Here is a 27,660-nt window from a genome sequence, read left to right on the forward strand (position 1 = left end):
TTAAAAAATTGAATACATATTTGTTTAATTGCTTGTAACTTTGTCCTTTCTAGCCTGCTAGCTTAATTAATAATGCTATATAGTGTATGCATGTCACTTGATTTCCTCTGTCTATCTCTGTGAGGTAGAGAAGGCAGGTCATGGTGAGGTGATGGCAGGTGTAGGTGCAACAGCAGATCCCCAGTTTACAGATGAGAGGAAAGTGAGGCTCAAATATGTAATTTATCCAATAATGTACAGTAAGTGCTGGATTGGGGATTAAGTCCTTGGACTGGGAATCTGGTTATGAAACTTTACTGCCTTATTAAAGAGTATCATAAATGCTGAAGGTGGAAGCTGAGCATTTTGTTAGCCTCTTATTTAATAATTACAAAGAGATTTCATATTTAGGCTACCTGAATATTCTTAGCAAGGGAAAAATATGAAATTTAAATACATTACAAATTGTAATTGAGCCGAAGGGTTTGTCTTCAAGATAAATGCCTAACCCCAGTGTCTTGCCCATAGGGGCCACTTACTGAACGTATAAGTATGTTGAACATTTGAATGAAGAGAGAAAGATGTAGTGGGAAATTCACCACTTTAAGAGATGTGTTTAGCAGAGGCCACGCATCAGTTTCTAAAAAGTAATAACTAAATCTATTCTATTTTGATTCTTTTTGAAAAATAAAATGCATGCTTGTTATGTATTATAATTACAGGCTATTCAAGGCCGAAATGAGAGCTGTGACATATCAAAAGAACATACTTCAGAAACTACAGAAAGAACACCAAAGCATGATGTTCATCAGATTTGTGATAAAGATGCTCAGCAGGACCTCAATCTAGACATTGAGAAAATAACTGAGACTGGTGCAGTGAAACCCACAGGAGAGTGCTCTGGGGAACAGTCCCCAGATACCAATTATGAGCCTCCAGGGGAAGATAAAACCCAGGGCTCTTCAGAATGCATTTCTGAATTGTCATTTTCTGGTCCTAATGCTTTGGTACCTATGGATTTCCTGGGGAATCAGGAAGATATCCATAATCTTCAACTGCGGGTAAAAGAGACATCAAATGAGAATTTGAGATTACTTCATGTGATAGAGGACCGTGACAGAAAAGTTGAAAGTTTGCTAAATGAAATGAAAGAATTAGACTCAAAACTCCATTTACAGGAGGTACAACTAATGACCAAAATTGAAGCATGCATAGAATTGGAAAAAATAGTTGGGGAACTTAAGAAAGAAAACTCAGATTTAAGTGAAAAATTGGAATATTTTTCTTGTGATCACCAGGAGTTACTCCAGAGAGTAGAAACTTCTGAAGGCCTCAATTCTGATTTAGAAATGCATGCAGATAAATCATCACGTGAAGATATTGGAGATAATGTGGCCAAGGTGAATGACAGCTGGAAGGAGAGATTTCTTGATGTGGAAAATGAGCTGAGTAGGATCAGATCGGAGAAAGCTAGCATTGAGCATGAAGCCCTCTACCTGGAGGCTGACTTAGAGGTAGTTCAAACAGAGAAGCTATGTTTAGAAAAAGACAATGAAAATAAGCAGAAGGTTATTGTCTGCCTTGAAGAAGAACTCTCAGTGGTCACAAGTGAGAGAAACCAGCTTCGTGGAGAATTAGATACTATGTCAAAAAAAACCACGGCACTGGATCAGTTGTCTGAAAAAATGAAGGAGAAAACACAAGAGCTTGAGTCTCATCAAAGTGAGTGTCTCCATTGCATTCAGGTGGCAGAGGCAGAGGTGAAGGAAAAGACGGAACTCCTTCAGACTTTGTCCTCTGATGTGAGTGAGCTGTTAAAAGACAAAACTCATCTCCAGGAAAAGCTGCAGAGTTTGGAAAAGGACTCACAGGCACTGTCTTTGACAAAATGTGAGCTGGAAAACCAAATTGCACAACTGAATAAAGAGAAAGAATTGCTTGTCAAGGAATCTGAAAGCCTGCAGGCCAGACTGAGTGAATCAGATTATGAAAAGCTGAATGTCTCCAAGGCCTTGGAGGCCGCACTGGTGGAGAAAGGTGAGTTCGCATTGAGGCTGAGCTCAACACAGGAGGAAGTGCATCAGCTGAGAAGAGGCATCGAGAAACTGAGAGTTCGCATTGAGGCCGATGAAAAGAAGCAGCTGCACATCGCAGAGAAACTGAAAGAACGCGAGCGGGAGAATGATTCACTTAAGGATAAAGTTGAGAACCTTGAAAGGGAATTGCAGATGTCAGAAGAAAACCAGGAGCTAGTGATTCTTGATGCCGAGAATTCCAAAGCAGAAGTAGAGACTCTAAAAACACAAATAGAAGAGATGGCCAGAAGCCTGAAAGTTTTTGAATTAGACCTTGTCACGTTAAGGTCTGAAAAAGAAAATCTGACAAAACAAATACAAGAAAAACAAGGTCAGTTGTCAGAACTAGACAAGTTACTCTCTTCATTTAAAAGTCTGTTAGAAGAAAAGGAGCAAGCAGAGATACAGATCAAAGAAGAATCTAAAACTGCAGTGGAGATGCTTCAGAATCAGTTAAAGGAGCTAAATGAGGCAGTAGCAGCCTTGTGTGGTGACCAAGAAATTATGAAGGCCACAGAACAGAGTCTAGACCCACCAATAGAGGAAGAGCATCAGCTGAGAAATAGCATTGAAAAGCTGAGAGCCCGCCTAGAAGCTGATGAAAAGAAGCAGCTCTGTGTCTTACAACAACTGAAGGAAAGTGAGCATCATGCAGATTTACTTAAGGGTAGAGTGGAGAACCTTGAAAGAGAGCTAGAGATAGCCAGGACAAACCAAGAGCATGCAGCTCTTGAGGCAGAGAATTCCAAAGGAGAGGTAGAGACCCTAAAAGCAAAAATAGAAGGGATGACCCAAAGTCTGAGAGGTCTGGAATTAGATGTTGTTACTATAAGGTCAGAAAAAGAAAATCTGACAAATGAATTACAAAAAGAGCAAGAGCGAATATCTGAATTAGAAATAATAAATTCATCATTTGAAAATATTTTGCAAGAAAAAGAGCAAGAGAAAGTACAGATGAAAGAAAAATCAAGCACTGCCATGGAGATGCTTCAAACACAATTAAAAGAGCTCAATGAGAGAGTGGCAGCCCTGCATAATGACCAAGAAGCCTGTAAGGCCAAAGAGCAGAATCTTAGTAGTCAAGTAGAGTGTCTTGAACTTGAGAAGGCTCAGTTGCTACAAGGCCTTGATGAGGCCAAAAATAATTATATTGTTTTGCAATCTTCAGTGAATGGCCTCATTCAAGAAGTAGAAGATGGCAAGCAGAAACTGGAGAAGAAGGATGAAGAAATCAGTAGACTGAAAAATCAAATTCAAGACCAAGAGCAGCTTGTCTCTAAACTGTCCCAGGTGGAAGGAGAGCACCAACTTTGGAAGGAGCAAAACTTAGAACTGAGAAATCTGACAGTGGAATTGGAGCAGAAGATCCAAGTGCTACAATCCAAAAATGCCTCTTTGCAGGACACATTAGAAGTGCTGCAGAGTTCTTACAAGAATCTAGAGAATGAGCTTGAATTGACAAAAATGGACAAAATGTCCTTTGTTGAAAAAGTAAGTGGCTATATCTGTTTATGTTTAAATATGTAGTCATGAGGCAGGAAACCATATTTTCTTCTAGACACTGTGAATTGTATTTACTTCTAGACCGTGTCTGCTATATTGGACCAAACTTTGTAAAGGCTTTATGTTTACTGGGTCTTGAATTGCAGAAACACTGAGTTGGCTCTGGCAGTAGTCACTATTCTGGCTGATTCTTTGGGACATGTTCATGGATTGGACCAGGTTTTTAATGTGGCACCTACATAAGGGCAAAGCTTTGGTTTATGCACAGTTCCTTGTTCTAGTTATATTTCCTTTTCTTAGAGTACATCAGAATAGTGGCCTCCCCATATCCAGTTGAGACTCACTGCTATAGAGAGTATAACAGACATTATCTAGGATCGGAAAGGATCTGCCTGCCTTACTGTGTCTTTTTTGCCTTCAGGACAAAGCACTTTTAAAGATACTGATAGATTTGTAACCAACAGAGCACTCATGGCTTCTAGGGTGTGTTTTGGGGATTTCGTGCTTTCAGTCCCTCTTATACCTTCTCTTTGTGCAGTCTTCTATTGTATTAGTTGATGATTAAAGGGAAGATCTGCCATCAAGAGGCTCAATTATTAAAGAAAAATTAAGTTTTGGCCCAGTGAGCTTACTTAGTGATCTAGGAAAGTGATTTTGTCACACTTAATTCTTGCTGAACAAATATTAAAGAATAAAAGGACTATCCACAAAATTCATCTCCACCCTGTATTTTCTAAGAATTTTGGGGTTTTGGATACCTTGCAAGAGATGGCAGTCAGTATAGAGATGATGAGACAAACCATAGCAAGCTGTTTCACTTCAAGGGACAAATGCAAACAATAGCTTTTTAACTGTTTTTCAGTAATCATAAGCATGTTTATTGCAGATTAGTATGGCACTGGGGGATTAGTAGAGATCCAAGAAGTGATAAGATACTGCCTGATAATGATAATCTTTGATGTTTAAGTTTAATTCAAATTAATACCTTTGTGAAAGATTTTAAGACTTAGGGATATTATCTTTCCTTGTCATTCCTTCCCTTATTACTATTCTTCTATTAAATCTTTTCTGGGAAGAAAAGGTAAGCTTACTAGTAGGTTTTGAGAATGTTGAGTTGAGTGGATTAGTAAAGGCGGGATTAGCCAGCTTCCATTTTATGATTGAAGGCTAAAATAAATGGCATGAATATGTTGTATCAGAGTGGTCGATCTGATCAAAACAGACCACCAAAAAGCAGATTCTAATGAAAGATGAAATTTCAGGTAAACAAAATGACTGCAAAGGAAACTGAGCTGCAGAGGGAAATGCATGAGATGGCACAGAAAACAGCAGAGCTGCAAGAAGAACTCAGTGGAGAGAAAAATAGGCTAGCTGGAGAGTTGCAGTTACTGTTGGAAGAAATAAAGAGCAGCAAAGTAAGTTTCTTTGTGACAAGTGTTATTATGATCTGTTAATTCATTGTGCACACTCTCCTTATTGGTTCCTGTAAGACCTTCTGTTGTTTACCTAACTTATTTTTAGCTCTTGAAAAAAATAACCCTGTGCTTATGTCATAATCTGATTTATAGTAATCTCTACCATCCAGCACTATCAGGAGCCCACAAGGAGTCGTGAGAAGCCTCTGAACACATGAAAGTATCTGTCTCAGAGCCCAAATACATTTTCATGGAAGAGGACCCTTGGACCACATTAACGCACAACAGAAGTAGATCTCATGCCGCTTTCAACAAGTTTATCTGCCTCCCTAGCTTGCCACAGATTACAGGGTGGAATGTTGCTAGAAACACATTCATTGATCTGCTAAGAACTAACAAAGTAACAGAACTAAAGTCATAGTTTTAGGCAGGGTTAATGTGGCACACCTATAGCACTTGGGCTGCCACTGCCCACTGCCATTTCCATAGTAGATATTACTAATTCATACCCTCCCTTTTTCCTGAGTCTCCTAACACTGTGTACTGGGTAGCTGCTACCATGCAGAGAGAGCTGGCAGATGAAATGAAACCTGTTTGTCATACCTGATTAAATTATAAACATCCCTATAGCTGTTTAGTCCTCATGCAACTTCATCCCTGAGTAGTATTTAAAGAACAGCAAAATAAGATAGTCATGATTGCGACCCTGAATAATCACAGAAATTTGAAATGATACATGTAATATTCTGTATAAAGAGTTGGAGAGATTTGTTCTTTTCTTTAAATATAGTATTTAATCTATGAAAATGGAAAGGTTTTGGCATCAAATCTCAGGAATGGACTTAGACCATATTCTGGCCATACTGCATGGAAGGAGTTCCTCTGAATGATATTTGTGTATTGCGTCTGCTGAAATCTCTTTTGGTGTTGAGTAGCTTGGGAGTGTCCCAAGTGCGTCATTATTGTATTTTATGTATGGGCACTACTGAGAGGAGTAGTTTGGCCTCAGCCCCATACATATGAGTGTGTTAGTTTGCATTGGCTTTATTCATTCATTTATTCATTCTCTAAATAATAAGTGCTAGTAAGGTCAGGGGATAGACTATTGAACCATACCTATCCTGTGTTTCCTGCACTCATGCAGCTTACAGTCTAGACACATAATAAATCATGAAATAGGCAACATGTAACAAATAAGCGGATAAATACTATAAAGGAAACAAATAAGATTCTTTGCTGTGGAATAATTGGGATGTGGGGATATCAGGGTAGGAAACAACCTAATTTAGATAGGGTGGTCAGCAGATTTAGATAGGGTGGTCAGCAGATGTCACTTGCAAGATGACGAGTCAGCTATGCAACGACCAGGCAGTGGTGGGGAGCCTTCTAGGTCTAGAGAGCAGTGTGGTCAAAGCTCTGGGACTAGAAAGATCTTTGTATTTTTTTTAGAAATTGAAAGGAAGCCATTGTGGCTGGAGCCAGATGGAAAATGACATGCACAAAGATTGGAGGGGTAGGAAGGGTATGGAGGGGGTGGGAAAGGTTTGGGGTGGGAATATTCACTTGGCTAGTTCAACATATAGGGAGTATTTAGAAATTATGGGAATGGTAGAAAATGATGGAGAAGAGAAGGCGGCTCAGGGCCTAGCCTGGAGGAACTCTAGCACACAAGGTGAGATGGAGGAAGAAGAGCCAGCAAAGAAGACAGAGAGAAGGCTTGATAAGGCAAACACCCAGGGGGGTCTCATGTTCTGGAAATCAAGAGGAAGGAATGTCTCAAGAAGGAGGGAGTGGCTGGATATAGTGGCTCATGCCTGTAATCCCAGCATTTTGGGAGGCCGAGGTGAGCTGATAACTTGAGTCCAGAAGTTCAAGACCAGCCTGGGCAACATGGCAAAACTCTGTTTCTACAAAAAAACAGTAAAATTAGCCAGACGTGGTGGCACATACTTGGGAGGCTGAGGTGGGGGATCACCTGAGCCCTGGAGATTGAGGCTGCAGTGAGCCATGATTGTGCCACCGCACTCCAGCCTGGGCAACATAGTGAGACCCTGTCTCAAGAAAACTAAGCCAAACCAACCAACCAACCAAACAACAACAGCAACAACAATAATAACAAAAAACAAAAGAAGGAAGGAGTGGTCAGCAGCCCCAGATACTACTTAGATGTCGATTGAGATGAGCTTAGAAGAATGTGCCTTTAGTTTGCAGCATGGAGGTTGCTGATGCCATGAAAAGCTTTTTTAGGAAGAGCTGGGACGAATTGATTGGAGCAGGTTAAAGAATTGGAGATGAGGAAGTAGACACCACACATACAGAAACACATACAGAGACAGCTACTCAGGGTCAGGCACGGAGAAGACAAATGCTTCCAGGGTTGGAGTTTGGCCAGTTCTTCACAGTGAAGGGATGGGGCAAAAGATTGGAGGGCATTTGGAAGGAAATTCTTATAGTGACAGAACTGGAGTCTAAGCTGGTCAAGGAAGAAAATGCAAGTCCGGAGGGGATTTGGTGTGAAGATGGTAGTGGTTCTGTTGATGAGGTCAGGAATTATTGCAATGGAAGTACTTTAATAAACAAGGTTGGAAGCATAGGAAGGTGTGGTCCCAGAGTGGTTTAATTGAATTCAAGGTTTCAGAGTTTCTGTGGTCTCTGGATATGACCTTGCGAGGTGGTTGGGCTGGAGCAGAGGAAAGTGTTATTGGAGGTGAAGTCACAATTAAAAGTGAATACATTGCTAAGGATTATAGCACTATTCTGTACAGATTTTATCTTGCCCATAAATATTTTTTTTCTACACAGTACACATTATTTCCTAAAAATATTTCCAGGTTCTTAATTATGAGGAGGTGCTATTATGATTTTATTATTTTTCTGTTTAGGATCAATTGAAGGAGCTCACACTAGAAAATAGTGAATTGAAGAAGAGCCTAGATTGCATGCACAAAGACCAGGTGGAAAAGGAAGGGAAAGTGAGAGAGGAAATAGCTGAATATCAGCTACGGCTTCATGAAGCTGAAAAGAAACACCAGGCTTTGCTTTTGGACACAAACAAACAGGTGAAATGTGGGGTTTGGTTACTGGGGGAGCTGGAGAGTGTATTTTGATCATGGTAAGGCTTTTTTTTTTTTCCAAAAAAAATCAATATTCTGGGTTATTACTATGCTATATAATCTTTTAAAAGGTCTCACATTAACTTCACGATCTTTTCCCCAGGTCCCTCTCTTATTTTATCAGTTGATTTTTTTTTTTTTTTTTTGAGATGGGGTCTCTCTCTGTCGCACTGCAAGCTCCGTCTCCCAGGTTTGCACCATTCTCCTACCTCAGCCTCCCGAGTAGCTGGGACTACAGGTGCCCGCCACCACGCCCGGCTAATTTTTTGTATTTTTAGTAGTGATGGGGTTTCACTGTGTTAGCCAGGATGGTCTCGATCTCCTGATCTTGTGATCTGCCCACCTTGGCCTCCCAAAGTGCTGGGATTACAGGCGTGAGCCACTGCGCCTGGCCCGGTTGATTTTTTAAAAAGGTATATTTCCATTTTGGAGTAGAATAATAGGAGAGCTGCAAAGTCGAAATAGTCCTTGGAAAGGCAGGGTTTTGTTTTTGTTTTTCTTTTCTTTTTTTTTTTTTTTTTGAGACTGAGCCTCACTCTGTCACCCAGGCTAGAGTGCAGTGGCACAATCTTGGCTCACTGCAGCCTCTGCCTCCTGGGTTCAAGCAATTCTCCTGTCTCAGCCTCCCGAGTAGCTGGGATTATAGGCGCCTGCCACCACGCCCAGCTAATTTTTGTATTTTTAGTAGAGACAGGGGTTTCACCATGTTGGCCAGGATGGCCTTGAACTCCTGACCTCGTGATCTGCCCACCTTGGCCTCCCAAAGTGCTGGGATTACAGGTGTGAAACACTGCGCCCAGCTGTTTTTTGTTTTTCTGACTATTTTTTTTTAGCTGTGCCTCCTGGCTAAAGTAACATTTTGGTTTTTTTTGTTTGTTTTGCTCTAGTATGAAGTAGAAATCCAGACATACCGAGAGAAATTGACTTCTAAAGAAGAATGTCTCAGTTCACAGAAGCTGGAGATAGACCTTTTAAAGTCTAGTAAAGAAGAGCTCAATAATTCATTGAAAGCTACTACTCAGATTTTGGAAGAATTGAAGAAAACCAAGGTATGTTCACTTTAATTTGCTTCATGATTTCGAATGGTTTATACAGGTGGTAGTGATTTTAATGGTATAGCATTAAACGTTTTCATTTTCATTTTATGAAAATTTTTGGTAGTCAAAAATGATGTCATTCATCAGTTCTCTGCTGAGTTATCTTTAAAAAAAATCAGTGGGTCATCTACAGTCTCATAGCTTGAATAAGCTATCCATTGCCTCATGCATCCTCTCAAACTAGAGGATGTTAAAGACTTCTTGAGATAGATTTGAAGATCCAGCCACACAGCAGATGAGGGCAGGCCTCTTAAGCTATAGAAAACAGTCTGACGGGCAATTCCAAAATCTTGAATGAGCTGTCTCCAACTTCACTGTCACCATACTCACTTTTCTGTGGCTTACGGGGAGATCAAAGTGTGGCAGAGCACCTTGGTCAGGCAGACGTGTGGATATTCTCCTCTTCCTCTTCACGCAAGGATCATAGAACTTTTTTTTTTTTTTTAGGAACAATGAAGGTGAACCCTAGTCTCAGGATTGCTAGTCTCAAGATGGTACCACTGTAATTCTACCTGGAAAAGGAGGTGTTTTCATTCCTACAGATATTTTTCATAAGATAAATACCCACAGTGTATAGTAATGAACCTGGATAATAAATATCTTCCAGAAAATATTTTACTTAGAAGACGATTATATTTTTTAAATTTTGAGATTAATTGAATATATACAAACAGAAAATTAGGTACAAATTTATTATGTTTATGGCTCTTATACAACTATCAAGGTAAAGGAAATTTACCAATTAAATACAAAGTAGTAAAATTCAAAATCACAATAATTAATAATGTTCTGCTGCTACAAAATGAGATGTTGGGTTTAATAATAGAAGGAAGTAGCACTGTTGAAATAGAATTAAATGGGTCTTGAATTCATTTGTGATTGGAATCAGAAGTCGCAAGTTCTGAAAGGGTAAGGTTTACTGCAACATTGCTAATAAATAATTTCAAGATGAAATATACAAAGATGAGATCCAAGCTCTAACATTTACTTGCAACATGAATATGGTACTGTGTTCTTCTCCGTCCCCCATCCTCATTCCCCCTCCTCCTCCTGCTGCTGTTTGGTCTTCCTTTGGAAATTCATGATGCCATATCAGATGGTTTTAGAATTCTGCACTTTAATAATGTAATGCATATGCCATATATAATATCCCAGAGGGATCTGCTATAATATTGCATAATCGAATTCATATTTCTGCAGCAAAATGTGTGGATACTCTCACAAGGCAGGATAAATAGAGACTATATATACTGGGCCAGGTGTGGTGACTCATGCCTAGAATCCCAGCACTTTGGGAGGCCAGGGCAGGAGGATCACTTGAGGCCAGGAATTTGAGACCAGCCTGGGCAACATAGTGAGACCTCATCTCTTAAAAAAAAAAAAAATAGTTGGTTGTGATGGCACGTACCTATAGTCCCAGCTATGCAGGAGGCTGAAGTGGGAGGATTGCTTGAGCCCAGGAGGTCACACAGTGAGCCATGATGGTGCCACTGCATTCCAGCCTGGGTGACAGAGGGAGATCCTGTCTTAAAAATAAGTAAATTAATTAATTAATAAAGACATGAACACCTTTATATCTCTTCAGGTTGGGTTTTGCCTCTAAATCATTTTCATAGCTCTTTTTTTTTGATTTGGGAATTGTGAATAAGAATGTGAACTTGTACCACTGAGAAGCGTATGAGGACACAATTCTCCCATCATTCTGTTGTCTTTCTACTCGAGCCACAATGAAATTTAAATTTGTATAGTGAGCTAGAATATCATTTGGCCTTCACTTGGTATGGCTAAAACAAATACCAAGGCAGGTATTGAAACTGTAACAGTGTGATTACAAATGGGAACACAATTCTGTCATTGAGAATTTTGGACTCACCAAGAATATGTTCGTTGTCTCCCTGTCCAGTAATCCAATGCGATTCCCATTGGATAAATACAGACATAGTGGGCACTTAATAGACATCTCAGGAACTGTAGTTTATACTTGTGATACTAAGAAAGAGAATGACAAAACCACATTGTCAGTTGGGGGGACTTAGGAAACTGAGTAGAGAACGTGAATGGTTTTGTGCATCTTTAGATGTTTTGTATTGAATCTAATAATTCTTAAATTTACAATATATGAATCTTATATCTTATAATTATTTTTCCATATGCTTATAAAAAGAAATTCAAGGTTTTAAATGGAATTACTTTTATTTTGTAGATGGACAATCTAAAATATGTAAATCAGTTGAAGAAGGAAAATGAACGTGCCCAGGGGAAAATGAAGTTGTTGATCAAATCCTGTAAACAGCTGGAAGAGGAAAAGGAGATACTGCAGAAAGAACTCTCTCAACTTCAAGCTGCACAGGAGAAGCAGAAAACAGGTGGGTGTTAACTGGGGCACATCAACTAGCCAGAACTCTTTTCCAGTAGTGAAATAACATATGGTATGCGTGCATAGGAACTATTTTTAGTGCTGTGTTCTATTACTGAGTGCTGATTTTTTACCATTAATCCATTTTCCAATTTCTGAATTTTGTGCTTATCTTGGGATCATTATAGGACTCAGAATGAAGCCTTTTTTTGTTTCGTTTTTGAGACAGGATCTTGCTGTGTCACCCAGGTGGGAGTGCAGTGGTGCCATTATGGCTCATTGCAGCCTCGACCTCAAAGCGATCCTCCCACCTCAGCCTCCCGAGTAGCTGGAACAATAGACAGGTGCCACCACACCCGACTAATTTTTGTATTTTTTGTAGAGACAAGGTTTTGCCATGTTGCCCAGGCTGGTCTTGAATTTGTGGGCTCAAGCAATCTGCCCACCTTGGCCTCCCAAAGTGCTGGGATTATAGGCAGGAGCCACCATGCCTGGCCTGAATGAAGCCATTTTGAAATAGAATTATCGCATCTTCCATTCTATAAAACATGGAAAAAACTGGTGGAACTTTTTGCTAATGAGCCATTCTAAGAAGAGTTTTTTATGTCGATGTCCAGTTACGTGGTTTCTTTGTCAATAGATTGGCATCAGAATTGGCTTTGGTAATTTATAAATAGCTGATTCTGGTTATCCTCAGTCCATTCGTATGGGTCAACTAAAGGGAACGGGTGAGGGTGGGAGGCATATTTTTAGTTGTGCAGGCAAAATAGAAAAGGAAAGAAATGATAACTCTCCTTGTCACTTTTATCCACTTATACCCCTGGAGTGGCATGTGCTTACCGTGTGGATAGATGATGACAAGCATAATCTGACTGGCTTCTCTGGTCTGTAGTGTAGCAGGATGTGGGTCAACAGTCTTCCCTGTTGGAAACAGTGCTCAGGGTAGATTGGGGCTTCAGGGGATTTTTCTAATGGATTTAATACACCCATGGCAGCTACAAGTTGACCAAGATTCCCACCTTTATAGTGTTCCCCCAAACCCTTTTTCATCAGATCCTCCATTGCCTTCAGATGCTTTCAGAGTGTTTTTTTGGATTTGCCTGGTCATCTGTTAGAATCTTGTCTCCCAAAGCCATACAACAGAAGCTTCATAATCTTTGCTGACTTCTGTTCATCCACTTATGGTAGACAGAATGGACTGGGGAAAATAAGGATGTAAAAAAATGAATTTATTTGATTGGATATAACTGACGCTGCAAGAACGTTTAATGAGTTGGCTGAAATATGAGTTTGAGACTTTGGTGGATTTTATTTAAGCTGTCCCAATGAGTGTCACAGGACTAGAATATCTGCCTTGATATGATATACCTCCCGAACAAGAGTTGTTTGAACTATAAGAACATATACAGATATATCTCCCCAACCTCTTAAAAAAAAAAATCAAAGAAAGAACACGTCTAAGATTATCTGCTTCACGATGCCCATTGTTAACTAGAGAAGCATCAAGTTGCACATGATGTGTTGCTTTACTTTGGACAGGTACTGTTATGGATACCAAGGTCGATGAATTAACAACTGAGATCAAAGAACTGAAAGAAACTCTTGAAGAAAAAACCAAGGAGGCAGATGAATACTTGGATAAGTACTGTTCCTTGCTTATAAGCCATGAAAAGTTAGAGAAAGCTAAAGAGATGTTAGAGACACAAGTGGCCCATCTGTGTTCACAGCAATCTAAACAAGATTCCCGAGGGTCTCCTTTGCTAGGTCCAGTTGTTCCAGGACCATCTCCAATCCCTTCTGTTACTGAAAAGAGGTTATCATCTGGCCAAAATAAAGCTTCAGGCAAGAGGCAAAGATCCAGTGGAATATGGGAGAATGGTAGAGGACCAACACCTGCTACCCCAGAGAGCTTTTCTAAAAAAAGCAAGAAAGCAGTCATGAGTGGTATTCACCCTGCAGAAGACACGGAAGGTACTGAGTTTGAGCCAGAGGGACTTCCAGAAGTTGTAAAGAAAGGTATGCCTAATTTAAAGACAAAATTATTTGTGTTCTTTTGAAATTCCATATAATGGTTCACATATAAAAAGACAAAAGTATTTGCTTTTTTACATTATTGTGCAATAATCTCATTGACGTTCATAAGCAATAGTCTGCTTTTAAATGGATGAGGCATATGTTTTCCTCTAGGATCTAATTACTTGTGTCACATTAACAAAAGAGCTGGTAGATTGGAAAAATGGCTGTCTAAAATCTGTTTGGAATTTGTTATTTGAATGCTGAAAAAAATTATTAAATTAAGGACTCCCGTCAGCGTTTCCTACCCGTTGGTCATGTCTGACCTAGCTAGCAGGTGAGCTGGAGGGTGCACCCTGTGATGCTGGCCCCCTGACTGGAGCCACTGACTACACTTTGTTTTGTTTTTGTTTTGTTGTTTTAATCTTGGTTTTCCCCCAAGTCTGGCCCAAGGACTGGTGCCATTCTAGGAACTGTTTGTTATTGGTTCCCAACTGAAACAATGTATTGTAATTAAGTAGGAATTTAGAAATTTTCATAGCAACTTGATATTTTTGTAACATCCAAGCACATATCATGTTTTCTATTGATTTGTTCTCATTATATTATACAAAAATATTATTCCACAGCACATTGGAAATTCTTCGAACCCCCTCTGCCCCCAAATATCAAAACTGATGCTTTGCCATTGATGGTTTGAAAAGCATTGTTCTGAGTAACTCTAGCCCAAAAATAGTTATCTATCTCTCACTGGTAATTTTTATATGTAGTTAAAGTGTGAAAAAAACAAAAACAAATGCTGCTTTAGTTAGCCCTGAATGCAGTTCTGGAGTGTGTGTTGATACACTAACTCTTAGTATCCCTGGGATTGACTTTCTTTCCTGGGTCATCCAAAGTCATGTCACTTCCTTCTGTGGAAAGAGACAACGTGAGTGAGTGTGAAATCACCTTTAGAAAGGTCAGTTTCTCTCCTCCCACCTACATGAGAGTGCTGGCCTGAAGTAGCTGTTACCATTTTACATTTCCCCCCTTTCCCTTTCTTTTTTTTTTTATCTTTTATTTTTCCATTATACCCTCCTTTTTTCCCCAACCCAATTTTACAATAAGGCCTGCTGGCATTCTTTAGATCTTAGAAAAATGCAAAATAAAACATCTACATAGAAGATAGAAGCAGAAAAAATTTTTTCTGTGTAGTGTTATTTTCCCCTTCTTCTCCCATTGTTGTTTTCTATGTTTCTAATAAGAGAAAAACCTGTTAAGTTATTTGATTCAATTTGGTGACTCCCAGGGCAACTGTGAAGTGTAATCCATTGACCACAGTGGCTAGGACAAAGTATTTTTTGGAGTTTGCATTATCCTTGTTAAAACCACCTAATGAATATCTTTTCCACTGTAGATAGAATTGGACCTAGCAGTGCTGACAGTTATTTTTTTTGCCCTTAGGGTTTGCTGACATCCCGACAGGAAAGACTAGCCCATATATCCTGCGAAGAACAACCATGGCAACTCGGACCAGCCCCCGCCTGGCTGCACAGAAGTTAGCGCTATCCCCACTGAGTCTCGGCAAAGAAAATCTTGCAGAGTCCTCCAAACCAACAGCTGGTGGCAGCAGATCACAAAAGGTAAACTACTGTCAACATCCGTCTACTGTTTGAGATCCAGAAAATTGCAGTAGTACCTGGGTGAGGATTGGACACTGCACCCCCGATTCAGGAGCGCTTTCAAAAAGTCTGACCTTCTTGGTGTGGTGTAAGTCAGTCAGTAGTGAGCAAGTGACCGGGTGAGCATTACAGTATCAGGGTACATGATCTCATCCTTCAGTCAACAGGCCGCTTATATGTAGTTTGATGGAAAATGGCATTGTTACATCAAAACTCAGTGGATTTCTAAGAAAGTTTCAGGCGTTACTGATGAAGGATTTGAAGAGGTAATTTTCCCTTTCGCCACTGGTATTAGTCATTGTTTGTTTCAAACTTTACTCTCACTTATCTGCCCCCAGCTGCTAATTCTTTATTGTTTTTATTAATCCTTTACTTTCTTAAAAAAAAAAAAAGCACATATTTCAATAGATATCTAAGGAAAGGAACTCTGTTTATAGATCTCTCTATTTTGATTGTTGAGGATACAACAGGATCTTAGTGACTTCTGTGTACCCTACAACATCCCAGAAAATGTTATGTAGAGCATAGAGAATATTTGCTTAACAGATCTTTATTCCTGTTACTATGATCCATACCAGCAGCTGCCATTTAAGTATGCAAAGTATATGCATTTTATTTATCTTTCTCATTTTATTGAACTCTCACAGTAAGTGGTATTATAAAAGAGTGAAGAACGTGAGACTCATAAAGATGTAACCTCCCAGTGTGAACCCCTACTTCCTCTCAACTCCACAGTCTTGATCTTTCTACGATACCAGTGTTTCTCAGACTGGGGACTAGGGGGATATTTTTGGAAGTTGCTGGAATAGCTTCAAAGAGTTTGAACAGTCTGTGATTTTACCTTGATTGCTCACTTGTCAGAGTTTGATCAAGTATGCGAGCTGATAACCTTGAACCAGAAAACAAAGCTTTGAAAGTGTAATAACCCCTATTTGTGTAATGTGATAATTCATAAGTGAGCAAGCACGTTCTTAGGATTTGGGATACCAAATATGAACACATTGGTGGTTACACGTGGGCGATCTAAAGAGTACAATATATTTAGATTTCTTGATCTAAACATCACAACAACAGATTTGCAAATTTCTTTTTGTTGATGTATAAGAGCTATAAGCATTAAGGAATTATACTTAGTAATAAATTTGTTCATCATATACATTATATTAAAATTTTTCTTCAAGTATGAAGAAGAATGCTCTGAGATTTTCTTTCACTAAAGTGGACCCATTTGTTACTCTTATTAGAAATAGTCTACCATTTTGTGCAAATTTTTCTCCCCTCCCCTACCAAATTCTCTCTGTTACTCACATTCGGATTTAACTTTGGCATGCTGCCAACAACAAAATACTGAAGTATATACTGGAGAATATATATTTAATATACTGAATATACTGACTTTCCAATGAACATGAGAACAGCTTCTCTTTTAAGCAACTAGTGCCCCTAAACCGTGGAGCTACCAAGCTTGTCCAAAGCTGTCAACTACAAGATATCCACTGGATACTGAATACAGGAGAAGTCAGGTTTAGGGTCCCGATATGGGCCATACCATTTTCTCAGAAGGGTGACTGGGAGCCACCCTTTCCCAAACCTCAGTAAAAAGTAACATCCATTCCTGTTTGTCTCACACTTCTGGAGATCAAACGAAGTATTTGACTCTCTTAGAAAACCATGACATATAGCTGGTACTCTATGCCTCCACTGTCTTTAGGCAGCTCACTTTATTGTAATCTCTTGTTTAAATATCTGTCTTCTGATTTGCAATCTGAGTTCTGTGAGGTTACTGATTACATCTATAGTTTATGTCTATGCAGTGTCTGACATTCAACAAATATTCACTGAATGAATGGAACTGTGAATGTCCTGAAGTGATTGCATTAATAGATGTTTATAAAGGCATGCTAGGAAATGGTCTTATGAAATCATCACAAGTCATTTTTTTTCTGTTGCGAAGAACTGATGGTAAAAGCAGTTTGCATGCGGCGTTCAGACTTACTATCTAGGAAAAAGAGCTTTGCACGCTAGGGGGCCTGCTCTCCTCACTGCTGTTGAATCTGCTGAGTAGGGAGTAGTAACCATGGTTTCTGCAGATTTTGTTCAGTGCATTAGCTACATGCTGTTCAGTAGGCACCAGCAGTTATGAATTGCTAAGCAATTTTGTGCACTTGCAAATGAGGAGAGGGACCTTTTGAGAGCAGTTATAGGAGAATTCATGATTAGATTCAAACTCTTCAAAACCTAGCCCAGTAATTTTTAATTTAATTCAGCATTTTCTGAGTTGCCCTGTAAAATGCTTGCTGCCTCATCTGTTAAGCGTATTACATCACTTAGTTTTAAAAATCTAGAATGAGGTATTATTTCCCAAAGCAGTTGCTTAGAAACTCAGGGTTGTGAGTTCTCCTTTGAGGTGACTGGCTGGGTTATGAGAGACAGTTTCCTAGGTCATTTAGCAAGACCTTTAGTAACATCTGACAAGTTCAAAGGGGAAAAAACTGGCAAAATGCACATTAGGTAAGGATCATTCTCTATTATGTCACTGGGATGGATTAGCTCAGGAACCCCTCGTTTGTTGGGAACAAGGGAGACAGCGCTTGTAGACCTGATCTCCTGAACCTGGGCTTTGTGATCAGTTCCAGAGGACTGGCCAGTAAGCTGTAGAGCCCATCGTGGATGGTGGTGTTAGTTTTGTGGGGATCTTGCATTTTTTCCTACTTGTGAGGGTCATTTTCACTGAACTACATGCATATTTGCCCTCTCTCTGTTGCTACTGCAGAATCATTTATGAGACAATTAGGGTATGCTTGCACTTTTTTTTTTTCCCTCCCCTGTGTTATTCTAGGAGGATGTACTATCTTAATAGATTAAATACTTGGTGAATTTGACTTTGTCTGGTTATAGACCATTCTGAAGCTAACTAACCAACAGGAGGGTCAAATCCACAGTTTAAATTCTGATCACAACTAAAGTGTCCTCAATTCAGTATCAGAAATTGAGTCTAGAGGGGAGAAGCCAGAAAGAGTGGACGTTAGCCATTTGATTGGGATAAAGAGGCTTATAGGCTCAAACTTTCTGTTTCCTATGGGCTATCTGTCTCTCTCTTTTTAAATGGCAAACCTAAAGATTTGTTTCTTGTACATCTGGTGGGTTCCAGGGAAACCTTGTCTTTGGAATCACTATTTCTCTTTAAAAAAAAAAAAAAGTACCAGCAAAACTTTGTTTTATTTTTTTCCTTCAACTTTCCATGGATGGTAATTTTCCATTAAGTCCTGACCTTCCAAGGCTGCGTCTTTTCAGTGTCCTGGACACACTCTGAGGGAGAAGTGAGCTTTCCTGGGATTTGATCTGTTGGCCAGATTTACTATGTTTCATGTAATGAAAAGTATTTAACTGCCTTTTTCAAATCACATGCTTCCTATGGAAAGAATATAAATGGGAAAATAATTTCCATTCCCTTTTCTTCTTGCATCAGAAGGAGATCCCTGGAAGTCAGTTGCTCAGGGAGTGTCTGTCACGTAGTTACTTCCCAGCAACTGTGCTGGACACAGATCCTTGTGTCCATTATGCAAGAGGCCCTTCTCCTTTCTCTTTGAAAGATCTTCCTACTTGAATCTTCCACTCTTGCCTTTAACTTTGCTTAGGTGAAGCTTTCCTATACTTCATTTTTCTTGCACTTTTTTCTCTTTTTTGACCGTGTATCTTTTTTCACTACTATATAAATTTCAATTTTTTTTTTTTTAAATCTTGCTCTGTCCCCCAGGCTGGAGTGCAGTGGCACTATCACGGCTCACTGCAGCTTCAAACTCCTGGGCTCAAGCGATCCTCTTGCCTCAGCCTCCTGAGTAGCTGGAACTATAGATGTGAGCCACTAAGCCTGACCCAATTTCAAAAAATCTTCACTCACCAGTTACCTTACTCTCTCATCTACTTAAAGTCTCAAATTTTCTGAGATATCTCTTTCCTTTAAAAGGCAGGATGTTTGAGAGGGGATTTATTCTTTCCGGACTTTATTGTTAGATAGCTGCCCTTCTGCTCTAGTCCAAATTCAATATGGAAACAGTCAGCCATAAAGGGAGAATGATTAAAATACCCTGAACTGGTCCTTGGTCATTTTAAAATTTTCCACCCTGTGGAGGTAGTATTACTCATTTGGGTTACACTTGTTTTAAACAACAGGAATGGCTAGTTAGGACAACAGAGGCAGGTTTTTCACTTAGGAATTCACTGGATGTGTACCATGTGGTCAAGCATGTTGTGGGCTCTAGGGATACATAGGTAAATAGGGCATAGTCTTTGCCATCAGAGGTGCCAAGGGACGTCTGATGACTGGTTAGAGGTTGTACCTGGTATCCTCCTAAGTTCTCTGTTAGATGGGGCCTGTTCTCAAGGAAGAGGAAATACTTCAATTATATATAACTCCTAGAGAAGAAGAACTTAATTTAAAACTTAGTGACATAGTGCTTTATTTTTCATGTTGTGGAAATGTGAATGTGATTGAACCTCTAACAGAGATGTTTGTGTTGCAGGTCAAAGTTGCTCAGCGGAGCCCAGTAGATTCAGGCACCATCCTCCGAGAACCCACCACGAAATCCGTCCCAGTCAATAATCTTCCTGAGAGAAGTCCGACTGACAGCCCCAGAGAGGGCCTGAGGGTCAAGCGAGGCCGACTTGTCCCCAGCCCCAAAGCTGGACTGGAGTCCAACGGCAGTGAGAACTGTAAGGTCCAGTGAAGGCACTTTGTGTGTCAGTACCCCTGGGAGGTGCCAGTCATTGAATAGATAAGGCTGTGCCTACAGGACTTCTCTTTAGTCAGGGCATGCTTTATTAGTGAGGAGAAAACAATTCCTTAGAAGTCTTAAATATATTGTACTCTTTAGATCTCCCATGTGTAGGTATTGAAAAAGTTTGGAAGCACTGATCACCTGTTAGCATTGCCATTCCTCTACTGCAATGTAAATAGTATAAAGCTATGTATATAAAGCTTTTTGGTAATATGTTACAATTAAAATGACAAGCACTATATCACAATCTCTGTTTGTATGTGGGTTTTACACTAAAAAAATGCAAAACACATTTTATTCTTCTAATTAACAGCTCCTAGGAAAATGTAGACTTTTGCTTTATGATATTCTATCTGTAGTATGAGGCATGGAATAGTTTTGTATCGGGAATTTCTCAGAGCTGAGTAAAATGAAGGAAAAGCATGTTATGTGTTTTTAAGGAAAATGTGCACACATATACATGTAGGAGTGTTTATCTTTCTCTTACAATCTGTTTTAGACATCTTTGCTTATGAAACCTGTACATATGTGTGTGTGGGTATGTGTTTATTTCCAGTGAGGGCTGCAGGCTTCCTAGAGGTGTGCTATACCATGCGTCTGTCGTTGTGCTTTTTTCTGTTTTTAGACCAATTTTTTACAGTTCTTTGGTAAGCATTGTCGTATCTGGTGATGGATTAACATATAGCCTTTGTTTTCTAATAAAATAGTCGCCTTCGTTTTCTGTAAGAATGATTCCTAAGTGTAAAGGCATTCGAATATTGGTACTATTTCTTGCTAATTACAACAGCCTCTTATACACGTGAAAATGTTTGAACAAATGATACAGATCTTTAAACAAATGATCTTAGCATCTTTAGTTGTATTAAAAGACACAATTTGGAATACGGGTCATAAGGAGTATATGGGAATATAAGACGTCCAGCCCAGTGCCTCCTACATTCTGTGTCCCCATTAAACCACATCATCAAGGATACAAGTATGTGGTATTTCCCAGCTCACTTGATGATGATATAGTTTTGAAAGCATGCAGGCATTATAAGCCATGTCAGATCCAAAAACATTTGAACAAGTTCTTACATCCTTGAATCAGGGTAAAAAAGTTTCCCAGGGCATGCGCTAGTAAAAGATCATTTGTTCTTGGCTTTCAGTCCAAATTGATGCACAAATTCCGATAAGCACCATCATTTATATTTAAAAGTTGTCCTTCGCAAGGTGGCCTCTGTTGTTGGATAATGCTTCAATAATATTAAGCTACTTAATATTCATCAGCTGAAAGTGATATCCTGACTTTCCTCTTGTTTCTTCAGTTGCTTGGGGTTGAGGTCTGGTGCAATATCCTTACCGTAAATCATCCCAGGGCCCCCATGTGCTCAAGGGCATGACCCCGAGCAGACATTGTTGGGATCAGGCCATCAGCTTTATTGGCTGTCTCCAGTGATTGGAAGATTCCACTCTGTAGGCTTTGCTGGGTAGCATCGTGGGTCCTTGAAAGCATCTCTTTGTATTTTCCTAGGTATGCCATAGCTGCTGCTCTTATTACTTGGATACTTGTTTTTTTGTTCTTTGTTTTTTTTTATTTGAGAGGGAGTCTTGCTCTGTCGTCCAGGCTGGAGTGAAGTGGCATGATCTCGGCTCGCTGCAACCTCTGCTTCCTAGCTTCAAGCCATTCTCCTGCCTCAGCCTCCCAGGTGGCTGGGACTACAGGCATGTGCCACCATGCCTGGCAGTTTTTTTTGTATTTTTAGTAGAGATGGGGTTTCACCATGCTGGCCAGGCTGGTCTCGATCATCTTTATAATTGTAGAGAGTTGTTCAAAATCTTGTAAGTGGACAGCCAGGACATTATTCTTTTCCTCAAGCTGACAGTACTTGTTCTGCTATGAGCTGAGCTGCATACGGGATGAAAGTAAACATGCTACCATTCCAACTTTCAAGTACCTTATAAGCCAGTTGAGTCATGAGTAAGATCCCCCGCTGACAAATCATATGGGAAAATGAATCAAGTTCAGAGATCTGGGAATCAGATTCTCATCTGTACAATGAGGAGCTTGGTTGAGATGATTCTTTTACCGTAAATATTGGATAAGAGCTGAAATGGACCTTTGTGTTATTGGGAGTTGCTGGCAGTCTAAGGGGACTGCATCTTCAGTAAGAAAGAAATAAGAACCAAAATTTAAATGTAGCCTGATTTCTATTTCTTGAGACACTCCTCCCCTCACCCTCTCACTTGCCTTCTTTGAGATTTATTTGTGATTTTTCTCATTTGATTCCAGTTTATTTATTTTGTTGGAACTACTAAATTTTCACAGATTTGTTTGCACCTGGGAAGAAGTCAGGGCACTTCTTCCTGGGGGCCCGTAACTCAAGGAGGGGAGACCTCTTCCACTTTCCAACTGGTTTGAGTCTGCAGAAGTTTCTAACTTCTCTTAGCATGGCTCAACACCAATTGTTATTTTAGAATTTCCAAGTTCTTCCAAAATCCTTCAGGCTATGGGCAGTATGTCGTGAAAGAAATTTAAATAGTAAATAAACTGATGAGTTCTTGTAAGCCATAGGTTTATTGCACCACAGTCGGAAGTTGCACTGATCATTAGCATGTTTTTCATATTTCTCTTCTGTAGTTAAGGAGGGGGATACAATTATTTTTGAAGAGAACAGTAAGTACCTAAAATTAACTACCACTTGGTAGTTGAGAGTTATGTGCTCTCCCGCTTCGGTTCATGTGAGCTGACTTCTCTTTGAAGGGAAAGGGGTTGTATGCTAACTCACTGACCGAGGAGAGAATAGAGCCTTGAGTGCTTCAGAAGAGCCTGGCTATTCTCATTTGAAAAGTCTGAGGACCTGAAGCTGCCATCCTACCTGCAAGCCCAGCTATGTATCTAATGCTACTACTCACTTTAGCTTTGGCTCAACTACTTAAAATACTGGATGGAAAGTCTTACATTTTACAAGGTATTTTCATGTGTGCTGAAACTTCCACCTTTGTGAGGTAAGAGACAGAGGTCAAACTTCTCACTCATAGGCCTGGGGAGATCTTGCTTAATGATAATTGTGTGTCTCCCCACAACCTTGCAAAATGAAGATTATCCTTATCAAACAGAAGATAAAATAGGCTCAGCGTATTTGGCCCAGGAAGTAGCAGAGTTGAGTTTCGACCTCAGCTTTGCAAATACAAAACCCATTCTCTTGTTTGTCCTGTAGCTTCTCTGGAAGCAGTCTTTTCCAGAATAATTCTGATAGTATAGATTTTCAGATGATATTAAGTAGCTTTTCCACTTTCTATGTGCAATGGCAATGAAGATATCTAGGCTGTCTGCATCTGATTTGGGTTACCTTATATTTAATTTCAAAAATGTAAAATGGGACTAGCTATACATTTTAACTCCTAAAAGTTGTCTACCAACTAAAAGTTGTCTACTAACTGAATGCATACGCATTATTTATGTAGAGGTAAATCCTTTCAAAGAGTCTTTTTTGCAATTCAACAAAGAAACCTTATTAAAAAGTGGGCATGAACAGACACTTCTCAAAAGAAGACATACAAGTGACCAACAAACATGAAAAATTGCTCGACATCACTAATCATCAGAGAAATACAAATCAAAACCACAATAAGACACCATCTCACACCAGTCAGAATGGGTATTATGAAAACATCAGAAATTAACATGCTGGCAAGGTTGTGGTGAAAAGGGAATGCCTATACAGTGATGGTGGGAATACAAATTAATTCAGCCACTCAGGAAAGCAATTTGGAGATTTCTCAAAGAACTTATACAATAGAACTACCATTCTACCCAGCAATCCCATTACTGGGTATATACCCAAAGGCAAATAAATCATTCTGCCAAAAAGACACATGCACTCCTATGTTCATCACAGCACTATTCACAATAGGAAAGATACGGAATCAACCTAGGTGCCCATCAATAGTGGACTGGATAAAGAAAATGTGCTACATATACGCCATGGAACACTATGATGCCATAAATAAAAATTCAATCATGTACTTTGCAGCAACATGGATACAACTGGAGGCCATTATCCTAAGCAAATTAACTCAGGAAACCAAATACCACAGGTTCTCACTTATAAGTTGGAGCTAAATATTGGGTACATGTGGACATAAAGATGGGAACAATAGACACTGAGGACTACTAGATGGGGGAAGGAGGAAGGGGGGACCAAGAGTTGAAAAACTATTGGGTACTATGCTCACTACTTTGATGATGGGATAGATCATATCCCAAACCTCAGCATTATGAGATATACCCATGTAACAAACCTGCACATGTACTGCCTGTATCTAAAAAGTGGAAGTTATGTATTAAAAAAAGTTTGGTTTGGAAAACCAAATACAAAATATTTCAAATACAAATGTTTAGTATAATGTGGATATTAAAAGTGAAAGGTGTCAGAATGCCTTGGGGTCCCATTTGACCTTGGACAAATTACTTAATTCTCTGTGCCTCAGTTTCTTTTCTTTTCTTTTTTTTTTTTTGAGACAGAGTCTTGCTCTGTCGCCCAGGCTGGAGTGCAGTAGTGTAATCTTGGCTCACTGCAACCTCCACCTCCTGTGTTCAAGCGATTCTCCTGCCTCAGCCTCCGGAGTAACTGGGATTTACAGGCACCTGCCACCACGCCAGGCTAATTTTTGTATTTTTAGAAGAGACGGGTTTCACCATGTTGGCCAGGCTGGTCTTGAACTGCTGGCCTCTGCTAATCCCCCTGCCTTGGCCTACCAAACTGCTGGGATTACAGGCATGAGCCACCATGCCCGGCCTCAGTTTCTTTATTGTTAAAATTGGATATAAATAATAATACCTCTTGAAGTTGTCATGATGATTAGTTAATTTGTTAATACTTTACACTTATGATTTTACACTCAATAGAATGTTGGTTATTCTGTATAATTACACATAATTTCTTTCAGGTCAAGTTCTGATCTGAAATCTTCACTAATGTCAATACCATAATGCTTATCTTGCAAATGAGTTTAATCACTACAGATTTGCACATATCATTCGATTATTGATCTTGCAAATGAATCATTTACAGGTTTTTAGTTTTTGTTTGCTTGGGTCATTAAAAATATCTAAAGAAAACAATCACTACAATTTTATTTACGAATGGGTTGTGCTCCTGAAGTACAAATATAAATTAGTTGTTTGGAACTCAGAATACATTTCCTTGTAGAAACAACATTGTAAGTTGTGCATAAGTGTAAGCCCAGGAAGCCAAGTTAGCTCTTACTATGTTAAAATGACAATTAAGTTTATTTCAACCATATGGAACCTACATTGATAATATTGTTTCTTTGGAAAAGTGTATTTTAAGGATGAAGTTGCCATAAACTCAATTTTTTACTCCTCAACTGTCTTCCCAGTGTATCCCACTCTTCCCTTTCCATTTTGTGATATTGGACAGCAATGATTTAGCAGTCTCAGGATGGAGAAATCGAGATGTAGAGTCCTGTCCACCACATTTCTAGAACAGCAGCTGCTCCCAGGCTGAAAGGGAAAGTGATAGTTTTTATGCTGCAGGCAATGCCAGTTTTATGTAATGTTGGTGTATTTGTGTGTGTAAATTTAAGTGGTTTGTTAAACTACTTAACATTTTTGATGTTTTAGAAAATTACAAGGAAATACATATCCCCAAGCTTCGTACACTTTTGTTGACTTGCAAGTCGACTTCCAGCCCCCAAAATTTCCACCAGCCTCCATCCCCTCAATTCAAAGATGGTGGCAGATGAATAAGATTACTATACTTTGTTATTCCTCCCTTTCTAGGATGCCTTGAGGATGACCTGAGAATAATGTATAAAAATACCCCATTTGCCAAACCAAATGCTTAAAGTTTCAAATGCTTTATCTCATTTGATATTTAATAATGCTGTCAAGTGGGTCCTGATTTAAGAAGGGAACCAATGGAGTTGTTAAGTTTGTGTCAAAACAAAACTGAGGGTTCTAGTCTTGGACCGCAGCACAAAGTTCTTCATATATGACCGTACAACTTCCCAGTAGAGAGTAAGGGGATTTGGTCTAGGAAGAAAACTACCAGCCTGGTAGGTTCTTTTCAGAACCCAATTCTGAGCTCAATAGGGGAAGTTTCCTTCTATTAGGGCTTAGGTCAACTCCATGCCAAAGGAAAATTTGCTTCATTTAACCTTTTGATTTGGCATCCCGGTTCCTAGCAAAAATTACACTGTTGTAATAATAAGAAATTTCACTTCTCCTACTTTTGTTTTCTCCAACACTGCTTTTGCAAGAGTGTGGAAAAATGAGCAGCTTTCTATAGTTACAGACTTTCTAGAGAAACATTGGGATATTTCTGAGTTTTAAATGTGAACAGATCCTCTTGGTGTTGAAATCACAGCTGTGTTATCTAACAGAGCATTTGCTGGCCGGGTGCCCACTCCCTCCTGCTAGACCCTGACTCCTTGGGCAGTTCACATGAGGGTGTTATTTGTCCTGGATACCAGCTGTTTGTTGTTTTAACGGTCATCTTCTTGGATTTAGACCAGCAGAGGGTCATGAGGGTGCCCTGTGTTCACCCACAATGCTTTGTTCCCTTTGTGCTATTTATGCACAGCCTACATTGTATGCCTACACAGAGGCATGGTCACTTTCCTTGGAAGCATAAACAGGTGGGGAAGGAAAGAAGTGCCAATGCTCTGGTTTGTAAACAGGTGTACTGAGTGTGGAGATGATTTTCCTTCCAAAAAAGCCAAGACTTGACCATATCCATGAGCTACATCTTGGCTCTGCCCAGCTAGCTTTTTCAGAGGTTGGACATTCAACCTATGAGACCATCAGAGACTCGATCCATGTAGAAACAGCAGATGTTCATGGACTTGCATATAGCCTATTTAAATGGCAGGACAAATAAATGGAGGATACCCATCATTCCTAGAATTTAAAACAAGTTCTTATTGAACAAGTTCTTATTGAAATTTACTGCAAATTCTGCCTACCAATCTGTTCATATGAAAACCAGAAGCCCAAGTTACATCCTAAATCTTGTTCCAACATGTGTAGCAAAATTAAATTATTTCCCCCTTGAGATTGTCATAAACTCGTTTAAGAAAAGAATATGTTGGTTAGGAAGCATCTCATACTGATTTCCCAAATCTGGTGTAGATTGCAGTCAATGAAGAGATGTTTTTTAAACCAAGTTCAACTATTTTTTAATTGTCCCCAGACAGAAATTTTTTTGTTGCTGTGGCAGAGATGGTGATTGCCTATCCAACGGTCACTTCTGCCTTCTTTCTTGTCAATAGAACCCCACTATTGGGTTGGGCAGCAGTTTGCTCAGAGAATATGGACCCATTCCCAGTAAAGGATAATTAGCACAAGCCAATTATGGTGATCCCATTGTCTTTTGCCAGTGATTGGTTATGATAACCACCCTACAATGACTAATTTTGAGACTAGAAATGAGGCATTTCCAAGACACTGAGGATGCTAGGTCAGAAAGATCGGAAGAGACTGGGTCCTCGATTACTTTGCTAAGCTTCTGAACCAACCTTGGACTTGTCATGTCAGAAAATGAAAAATTATTTTCTAAAGCAACTTCCAGTAGAAAATCCTGTTACATCACCCACGAACTTCCTGATCGAATTGCAAATCCTGTTTTCAGATTTTTTGTTAGTCAACATCTACTCTCTTTACC

The 27,660-nt window shown here is 39.5% G+C and overlaps 1 protein-coding gene across 3 annotated transcripts in view; it reads left to right on the forward strand.

The window, feature by feature from the left end:
• Window positions 1-20,716, forward strand: part of CENPF (centromere protein F) — a 61,377-nt gene extending 40,661 nt beyond the window's left edge. For 2 of the 3 annotated variants that reach the window (NM_016343.4, XM_017000086.3), the window contains exons 13-20: window positions 702-3,545; window positions 4,820-4,972; window positions 7,855-8,031; window positions 8,973-9,134; window positions 11,386-11,548; window positions 13,078-13,554; window positions 14,995-15,173; window positions 19,736-20,716. In NM_016343.4, coding sequence (NP_057427.3) covers window positions 702-3,545; window positions 4,820-4,972; window positions 7,855-8,031; window positions 8,973-9,134; window positions 11,386-11,548; window positions 13,078-13,554; window positions 14,995-15,173; window positions 19,736-19,939 — 4,359 coding nt within the window. In that variant the 3' untranslated portion in view covers window positions 19,940-20,716. The remainder of the gene's footprint in view (window positions 1-701; window positions 3,546-4,819; window positions 4,973-7,854; window positions 8,032-8,972; window positions 9,135-11,385; window positions 11,549-13,077; window positions 13,555-14,994; window positions 15,174-19,735) is intronic. The other variant, XM_011509082.4, reaches the window with a different exon arrangement.

The sequence above is a fragment of the Homo sapiens genome, chromosome 1, assembly GCF_000001405.40.
Source record: "Homo sapiens chromosome 1, GRCh38.p14 Primary Assembly".
NCBI lineage: Eukaryota > Metazoa > Chordata > Mammalia > Primates > Hominidae > Homo > Homo sapiens.